This window comes from Homo sapiens, chromosome 2 (assembly GCF_000001405.40).
Source record: "Homo sapiens chromosome 2, GRCh38.p14 Primary Assembly".
Classification (NCBI taxonomy): domain Eukaryota; kingdom Metazoa; phylum Chordata; class Mammalia; order Primates; family Hominidae; genus Homo; species Homo sapiens.
This window is the reverse complement of record NC_000002.12, coordinates 70,595,439-70,605,280: the sequence shown is the minus strand read 5'-3', so window position 1 is coordinate 70,605,280 and position 9,842 is coordinate 70,595,439. Positions and strand designations below refer to the sequence as shown.

The window sequence follows — 9,842 nt, the reverse complement described above, 5'->3', positions numbered from 1 at the left end:
GAGGCTGAGGTGGGCAGATCCCTTGAGCCCAGGAGTTCAAGACCAGCTTGGGCAACATGGCAAAACCCGATCTCTACCAAAAAAAATTACAAAAATTAGTTGGGTTTGGTGGCAGTCACCTGTAGTCTCAGTCACTAGAGAGGCTGAGGTGGGAGGATCACTTGAGCCTGGGAAGTGGAGACTGCAATGAGCCAAGAGTGTGCCACTGCACTGCAGTCTGAGTGACTGAGCTATACTCTGTCTCAAACAAACAAACACTTCTGGGAAGATGGAATAGCTGTACTTTTTCTTATTCCTCCTGCAAATCACAGCTAAAAATCCTGGACATTATATGTAAAATAAGCATAAGAAGATTCTAAAAGGGGGAGAGAAGAAGGCAGACTAACCAGGGACCTGGGACCTAAGGAACCTGCCATAGCAGTATCAAAGAAAGCCAGCTAAAAGAGAATATCCGGAGTTATAGAATGCAAAACAAAAATGTCCAGATTTTAATTGAAAATCATTCATCTGATTTGCAAGAACCAAGAAGATCTCAAACTGAATTATAAAAAAGCCAATACACACCACCATCAAGAGGTCAGAGATGTTAGAAGCATTTGACAAAGATTTAAAAGCATGTATGATAAAAATATTTCAATAAGAAATTACAAATATACTTCAAACATGAAAAAAACAGAACACCTCAGCAAAGAAACAGAAAGTCTCAGGAAGGAAAGAGAAGAATAGGCCAGGGGCAGTGGCTCACACCTGTAATCCCAGCACTTTGGGAGGCCAAGGGGGGCGGATCACGAGGTCAGGAGATGGAGACCATCTTGGCCAATATGGTGAAACCCTGTCTCTACCAAAAATACAAAAATTAGCTGGGTGTGGTGGCGCATGCCTGTAATCCCAGCTACTCAGGAGGCTGAGGCAGGAGAATCGCTTGAACCCAGGAGACAGAGATTGCAGTGAGACAAGATCTAGCCACTGCACTCCAGCCTGGCGACAAAGTGAAACTCCATCAAAAAAAAAAAAAAATATATATATATATATATATATAAAGGCAACCAAATGTAAACTTTGGAACTGAAAAATATAATAAATAAAAAACTCAGTAGATGGGCTCAACAGCAGAATGGAGGGATGTAGGAAAGAATTCATGATCTGGAAGATAGAACAATGAAACTAGCCAATATGAATAAAAGAGAGAAAATTAACTTTAAAAATATACAGAGCCTTAAGGACTTATGGAACTGTAACAAAAGATCTAACATTCATGTTACTGGAGTCCTGGAAGGAGAGAAGAAAAAGGATAGGACTGAAAAAGTAGTTAAAGACATAAAGGCAAAAATTCCTTCAATTTGCCAAGTGACATAAACCTACAGATTTAGAAAGCTGAATAAACCCCCAAACAGGATAAAACCTAAGAAATCTATACCAAGACACATTATAATTAAATTTTGAAAACTAAAGACAAAAAAATCTTAAAGACAACCAGATGAAAAGCTTGCCAATAGAGGAAAAATAACTCTAATGAGAGAGGATTTCTTATCAGAAACCACTGAGGCCTGAAGGAAGTGGCACAATATTTTTCAAGTGCTGAAAGAGAAAAAAACTGCCAACCCAGAGAGGAAGACAATCTCAGATAAAGGAAAACTAAGACAATTTGACACCAACAAACCTACCCTAAAAGAATGGCTAAAGGAAATTCTATAAATAGAAATGAAGCAGTTAAAGAAGAAATACTGGGACATCAAAAAGAGAGAGAAAGAAAGATTACTATAAGCAAAAATATAGGTAAATATATATTAGGCTTTCCTTTTCCTCTTGAGTTTACTAAATTATGTTTGATGATTGAAGCAGAAATTATAAAACTGTCTGATGTGGGAGAAGATAAAGATGTGCAAAGGTAGATAAAGTTTCTATACTTCAGTCAAACTAGTAAAATGAAAACACCAGCACACTGTGATAAGTTATGTATATATAATGTAATACCTAGAACAACCACTAAAAAAAAACTATACAAAAAGAGACATTCAAAAACAGCATAGATAAATCAAAATGGAGTTCTAAAAAATTATTTAAGTAACTCACAAGAAGGCAAGAAAAAACTCTAACAAAGAGAATAAACTTAAAACAAAAAATAAAATGGGAAACTTAAGCCTTATCATATGAACAATAACATTAAAAGGTTTAAATATACCCAATAAAAGAAGGATTAGCAAAGTAAATTTTAAAACATGCTATAACTGCTGTCAAGAAAAAACTCATTTCAAATATAATGACATAGGCAGATTAAAAGTTAAAGGATGGGAAAAGATATATCATGTAAATGGAAAAATAAAAATAAGCAAAATTGTCTATATTAACATCAGATAAAGTAGACATCAAAACAAACAAATTTGTGAGAGAAAAGTGGAACATTATATAATGATAAAAGGGTAAATCCATCAAGGGTAAATACATAAATCCTAAATATGTATGTACCAAACAACAGAGCTACAAAATATTTGAAGCAAAAACTGATAAAACTGAAAGGAAAAATAGACAAATTCATAATTATAGTTGGAGACTTCAACACTATCACCCCTCAAAATTTTATAAAACTAGGCAGAAAATCAGCAAAGATATAGAAGAACTTAACAGAACCATCTACCAAAAGTATCAAATTGGCATTAATAGAATACGCCACCCTAAAACAGCAGAATATACACTGTTTTCAAGTGCCCACAGAGAACATACACCGAGATAGACCATATCCTGGACCATAAAACAAATCTCAATAGATACAAAAAGTAAGTCCATACAGAGCATGCTCTCTGACCACAATTGAAATCAAACCAGAAATCAATAACAAGAAGATAACAGGAAAATCTTCAAACACTTGGAAACAAAATAACATACTTCTAAATAATACATGGGTCAAAGATGCAGTCTAAAGAGAAGTTTAAAAATACCTTGAACTGAATGAAAATGAAAATATAACATATTAAAAATTTGTGGCACATAGCTAAAGCTGCCGAGAGGGAAATTTACAGCACTAAACGTATATAATTGGGAAAAAAGGAAAGACTTGAATAAAAAACCTAAGCTCCAATCTTAAGAACTTAGCATAAAAAGAACAAAATAAACCTGTAGCAGACAGAAGAAAAAAAATAACAAAGAACACAAATCAATAAACTTGAAAACAGGAAAACAATAGATAAAATCAATGGAAGGAAGAGGTGGTTCTTTGAAAAATATCAAGAATATGGTCAAACTTCTAACAAGACTGACAAATAAAAAGAGAGAAGACACAAATTACCAATACTAGTAATAAACAGAGGATATCACTGCAGACTCTACAGACATCAAAAACGAGAGAATACTGACTGGATGCAGTGGCTCACGCCTGTAGACCCAGCACTTTGGGAGGACGAAGCGGGTGGATCACTTGAGCCTAGGAGTTGGAGACCAACCTGGGCAACATGGCAAAACCCTGTCTCTACAAAAAATGCTTGAACCTAGGAGGTCATGGCTGCCATGAGTCGTGATTGTGCCGCCACACTCTAGCCTAGGTGACAGAGTAAGCCCGTCTCAAAAGAAAAAAAAAAAAAAAGAATTTCATTCTCAGAAATTCTCAGAAAAACCATTCCTTGGAGAAACCAAACTATCACAACTTACCCAATAAAAAACATATTTGAATAACCTTTTACCTATCAAGAAAATTTAATCTGTAGTTATAAAACTCCTACAAAAGAAATTCCGAAGCCTTGATTATTTCACTACCAAACACTGAATAAGAATTAACACCAGTTCTACACAATATCTTCCAGAAAGCAGAAGAGGAAAAAACATCTCCCAACTCATTTTATGAAGTTAATATTACCCTGTTACCAAAACCAGAAAAAGGCAGTATAAATTTTAAAAACAGCAGACCATCTTGCTGTTGTTTTTTATCATTATTATTATTATACTTTAAGTTCTAGGGTACATGTGCACAACGTGCAGTTTTGTTACATACGTATACATGTGCCATATTGGTGTGCTGCACCCATTAACTCATCATTTACATTAGGTATATCTCCTAATGCTATCCCTCCCCGCTTCCCCCACCTCACGACGGGCCCAGGTGTGTGATGTTCCCCACCCTGTGTCCAAGTGTTCTCATTGTTCAATTCCCACCTGTGAGTGAGAACATGCGGTGTTTGGTTTTTTGTCATTGCGACAGTTTGCTGAGAATGATGGTTTCCAGCTTCATCCATGTCCCTACAAAGGACATGAACTCATCCTTTTTTATGGCTGCATAGTATTCCATGGTGTATATGTGCCACATTTTCTTAATCCAGTCTACCATTGATGGACATTTGGGTTGGTTCCAAATCTTTGCTATTGTGAATAGTGCCGCAATAAACATACGTGTGCATGTGTCTTTATAGCAGCATGATTTCTAATCCTTTGGGTATATACCCAGTAATGGGATAGTGGGTCAAATGGTATTTCTAGTTCTAGATCCTTGAGGAATCACCACACTGTCTTCCACAATGGTTGAACCAGTTTACAGTCCCACCAACAGTGTAGAAGTGTTCCTATTTCTCCACATCCTCTCCAGCACCTGTTGTTTCCTGACTTTTTAATGATCACCATTCTAACTGGTGTGAGATGGTATCTCATTGTGGTTTTGATTTGCATTTCTCTGATGGGCAGTGATGATGAGCATTTTTTCATGTGTCTGTTGGCTGCATAAATGGCATATGTATACATATGTAACAAACCTGCACGTTGTGCACATGTACCCTAGAACTTAAAGTATAAAAAAAAGAACAGCAAGATAAACTAAAAAATATTTAATAAATAAATAAATAAATAGATAGATAAAAACTGCAGACCAATAGTCCTCATGAATACAGATGCAAAAATTCTAAACAAAATATTAGCAAGTAGAATTCACCAATCCATGAAAAGATTTATATAACATGACCAAGTGAAGAAGTTTATTCCAGGGATGCAAGCAAGGCTGGCTCACTATTCGAAGTCAACCAATGTAATCTATCATATTAACAGGCTAAAGAAGAAAAATCACATGATTAATCGTTGCAGAAAACACATTTGACAATATTTGACACTGATTCATGATAAAAGCTCTCAGAAAAAAAGAAAAGGAAAACAGGAATAGACAGGAATTCCCTCAATTTGATGAAGAACATCTACAAAAAAACCCTACAGCTAACAGTATACTTAGTGGAGAAAGACTGAATGCTTTCCTCCTGAGATTGGGAACAAGGCAAGGATGTCTGCTCTACTCTTACTTACCAAGTGCTGAAAGTTCTAACCAATATAATGGGGAGCTGGGAGGAATGAAGAGCACACAGATTAGAAAGGAGAAAATAGAACTGTCCCAATTTGCACATAGACAATCCTAAGGAATATTTTTTAAAAAACCTTCATATAACTAATAAGTGACTTCAGCAAGGTCACAGAATACAAAATAAACATACAAAAGAGTGTATTTCTATATTCTAGCAATGAACACACAGCCACTGAAATGAAAAATACAATATCATTTATAATCACTAAAAAAGAAATAGATGTATATCTAACAAAACATATAGGACTTCTATGCTGAATAGTATATAATACTGATGAAAGAAACCAAAGATATAACTAATAGGGAGATATAATGTTGAAGAGATATAATATTGAAATATGAATGGAAGACTTCCAATATGAATTGGAAGACTCAACATAGTAACAAATTCAATTCTCCCCAAATTGATGTACACTTTTAACACAATTCCTATCAAAATCTCAGCAAGATTTTTAAAGACACAAACAACATTATTCTAAAATTTATATGGGCAGTCAAAATAACTAGAATAGCTCAAACAACTGTGAAAAAGAAGAATAAAGTAGAAGCAGTCTATCCAATTCCTAGACTTCTTATATAGCTACAGTAACCAAAACAGTGTGATATTGGCAAAGATCACAAAGGCCACATGATCAATGAAACAGAACAGAGAACCCAGAAATAGACCCACATGAATATGCCCATCTCATTTTTGACAAAGATGCAAAACAATTTAATACAGGAAAGATAGCTTTTCAACATTTTCAAATGGTGCTGGGACACTGGACATGATGAACCTCTGAGTCTCACATCTTTACACAAAAATTAATTCAACAATGAATCATGGATTTAAATGTAAAATGTAAAACTATAAAACTTTTACAGAAAAAAAGCACACAAAAAATGCTTGACATCTAGGGTTAGGCAAAGAATTCTTAGATTTGATCCCAAAAGCATGGTCCATAAAAGGAAAAACTGATAAATTGGACTTCATCAAACTTAAAAATGTTTGTCTGGTGAAAGACCCTCTTAAGTGGGTGAAAAGAAAGGGCATTGGAGAAAATATTTTCAAACCATGCATCTAACAAAGAACTAGTATTGAGAATATATAGAGAACTCTCGATATTCAACAGTAAAAAAGCAAACAATCCACTTAGAAAATGGGCAAAAGATACGGAAAGTGACATACAGATAGCAAAAAAGCATATGAAAAGATATTTCATATCATTAGCTATCAAGACAATGCAAATTAAAACCACAATGAAATGTCACTACACACTTACCAGAATGGCTAAAATTAAAAAATAGTGACACCAACCAAATGCTGGCAAGGACAGAAAGGTCATTCTGGAAAAATGTTTGGCAGTTTCTTTAAAAACATTAAACATATAGCTACCAAATGACCCAGCAATTGCACTCCTGGATATATATATATATCCCAGAGAAATGACAACCTAGGTTTACACAAAACCTTTTACATGAATAGCAGCTTAATTCCAATAGCCAAAAACTGGAAACAAACCAGATGTCTTTCAAGGAGTAAATGGTTAAATAAACTGTGGTATATCCTTACTGTAGAATACTACTCAGCAATGAAAAGGAATTATTAATATGATACAGGCACCAAACTGGATGAATCCAGAGAAGTATGCTCAGTGAAAAAGCCACTCTCAAACGGTTATCTACTGTATTATTTCATTTATATAACAGTCTTGAAATGACACAATTACCAAAATGGAGAACAGATTAGTGATTGCCAAGGGCTAAGGAAGGGTGACAGAGAGGGAAGTAAATGTGCCCATAAAATGACAACATGAGGGATCTTTATGGGATAGAAATGGTCTGTACTTGACTGTATCGATGACAATATCAAATTATGCTATGGTTTGGCAACATGTTACCATTGGGGAAACACACAAGGGATTAATCTGTATTATTTCTTAAAACTGCATGTGAGCCTACATTTATCTCAAAATAAAAAGTTTAATTAAAAAATAACTGCAGAAAAAAAAATTTATCCCTCTGGTCCTTTTAAGAAGGGTGGGCCTCAAAGGAGATGGTTTTGTTTTGCTGACCAGAGAAGCAGATGCAATGAAACACTAAGGAAATGTAATAACAGGACAGAAGGAGAGAGGGAAAAAGAGAGAAAGAAAGAAAGGAACAGAGAGGCAAAGAAATGGAGGAAATACTGGAGGGATTTAGGTATAGGGCACTCACCATAAGAAACTGATGAGAAATCAAAGTTCGGGCATAACAAGAATTGCTTAGAAAGGATTTTAAGAGATATTTTTGTCTGACGTGCTATGTAATCCTCTCTTCTGGGTTTACAAGAAGTAAAGACCTGCATTACTTATCAATCTTTCTTTTTTCTTTTGAGGTGGGCTTGTGTTTATTGGGATGTGATACCATAGTGAGGGTCTACAGGGCAGACTGGAATGTTCACATCATATTTGGTAAGGTTTGTCTGGGGTTTCAACCTGAGTATGCTTCAGGTAACTGATCCCCCCAGAACTGTGACAAGAATGAGCTTTCGGGTTGACCATCTAGTTGTTATGCTCATAGTACAAGGGAAAGGAAGTTGGCCCAACAGGAGTTATGTGATCCTTGCAAAGTCACCTTCAAAAAGAGGGAAATGGTGGGGTCTGTTCCAAAATCAGAATTAGAGCCATGAGGGCATGGAATGTTAAGGGCCCCGGTGTGTGAAATGGAGAATCACACTTACGCTGCTTTACGTAAGCCAGACTGAGAGGCTAAGGAAGCCTTTCTGCAGTACAGGCTGGGATTCAGTATTTATTATAGAATCAACATGTACAAATACACAATTTCTGCAGATATTGGGAATTTCATGGATGAGGACGTCAGTAGCAGACATGCCTGGGCATGTTCTGAATCCCTGTCTGGCCACTGGAGAGCAGAGGGGTCACTGAAGGACCAGCAATCAAGCAGACCACCTGCTACCACGCACGTCCGGTCTGTGGTTAGACACCCTCCAAATGCCACAGGGGTGGCAGATCCTGGAGGCTGTAAATTGAAGAGGTTAGACGGTTGCATGGCCCAGCCCTAGTAATTACTGTGGGCATAAAGCCACAAAGACCAGCTCTGTGGCAGAATGCTTGCCAGCCCTAGAAAGGCTCTACAGCAGAGTGGAGACGTGCTGGAATTCAGAGTTCACCACAGCGTGTCAAGGGGAAGGGAAGTTGGGAACAGCATGTGTGATCAGGACCTAAGGACTTCTGCCCCAGTTCATTCAAGGGCACAGCTGAGTGCAGTTTGAAAAGGCAGAAAGAGCTGGGCACAGGTAACTGAGCAACAATGAATGGTCAAATTCATGAGCAAAATTAGATTTCCCCAGGAAGCCTGATGTCTTGTTTCTGGGGATCTAATTCAGAAAAAGGGAGAGAAAACGGCCTCCTTGGTGTGCCCCAGAGGACCTGATGGAGCTAACAGTGGGGCTGGGGCCGGAAGCGGGATGCAGACCTGGGCCCCAACAAGGATGATGCTGGTATGACTCAGTCTGCTGAGGTCAGGTCCTGGCAAGACAGGTTCCGGTGAGTGAATGAACCGATGGCAGTAGTAGATTGCTTTATGTAAGAAAATGCAGGCAGGAAAAAGATTTAAGAGGTGGTGGAAGAGGGTAGGATTTGAGCAGCGGCTGGAAGGAGAAAGAGATTCTAAGGATAATTTTAAGGAAGTACTGCTGTGTTCCAAGCCCTGTAGTGAAATCCCTCCTTGGCATCCTCAATTAGCCACCAACAAATGCCAAGGCTATTGAGAAGACTCAGCCCATTGGAGGCATAGACATGAAGGGTTTTCTTTCTTTTCTTTTTTTTCCCATATTTAAAGTATATATTTAAAGTGTACAACATGAAGATTTGATATAGGTATGTATTGTAAAATAATTACCACAATCAAGTTAATTAACATATCCATCCCTCAAATCACATAGTTTCCCTTTTTAATTTTTGTTTTTTTTGGTGAGAACTCTTAAGATAAACTCTCTCTTAGCTAATTCCAAGTATATAATACAACATTATTAACTGTTGTCACCATGCTGCACATTAGATCCCCAGATCTTATTTTTTTTTAACTTTAAGTTCTGGATACATGTGCAGAACGTGCAGGTTTGTTACATAGGTATACATGTGCCATGGTGGTTTGCTGCACCTATTAACCTGTCATTTAAGTTTTAAGCCCTGCATGCATTTGGTATTTGTCCTAATGTTCTCCCCTTGCCCACCACCCCCGAACAGGCCCCGGTTTGTGATGTTCCCCTCCCTGTGTCCATGTGTTCTCATTGTTCAACTCTCACTTATGAGTTAGACCATACGCTGTTTGGTTTTCTGTTCCTATGTTAGTTTGCTGAGGATGATGGTTTCCAGCTTCATCCATGTCCCTGCAAAGGACATGAACTCATTCTTTTTTATGGTTGCATAGTATTCCATGGTGTATATGAGACACATTTTCTTTATCCAGTCTATCATTGATGGGCATTCGGGTTGGTTCCAAGTCTTTGCTATTGTAAATAGTGCTACAATAA

At 37.1% G+C, this 9,842-nt stretch overlaps 3 annotated features.

Moving 5' to 3' along the window:
• Positions 7,856-9,055: an enhancer, noted in NCBI's record as "MED14-independent group 3 enhancer chr2:70823358-70824557 (GRCh37/hg19 assembly coordinates)". NCBI's record gives its function as "activates an origin of replication core promoter dependent on BRD2, BRD4, P300/CBP and CDK7 cofactors, and independent of MED14, by STARR-seq in HCT116 cells {active_cell/tissue: HCT116}" and the evidence as "EXISTENCE:reporter gene assay evidence [ECO:0000049][PMID:35650434]".
• Positions 7,903-8,402: an enhancer, noted in NCBI's record as "H3K27ac hESC enhancer chr2:70824011-70824510 (GRCh37/hg19 assembly coordinates)". NCBI's record gives its function as "activates a minimal SCP1, AML or CMV promoter by ChIP-STARR-seq in primed H9 embryonic stem cells {active_cell/tissue: H9 hESC(primed)}" and the evidence as "EXISTENCE:reporter gene assay evidence [ECO:0000049][PMID:30033119]".
• Positions 8,403-8,904: an enhancer, noted in NCBI's record as "H3K27ac hESC enhancer chr2:70823509-70824010 (GRCh37/hg19 assembly coordinates)". NCBI's record gives its function as "activates a minimal SCP1, AML or CMV promoter by ChIP-STARR-seq in primed H9 embryonic stem cells {active_cell/tissue: H9 hESC(primed)}" and the evidence as "EXISTENCE:reporter gene assay evidence [ECO:0000049][PMID:30033119]".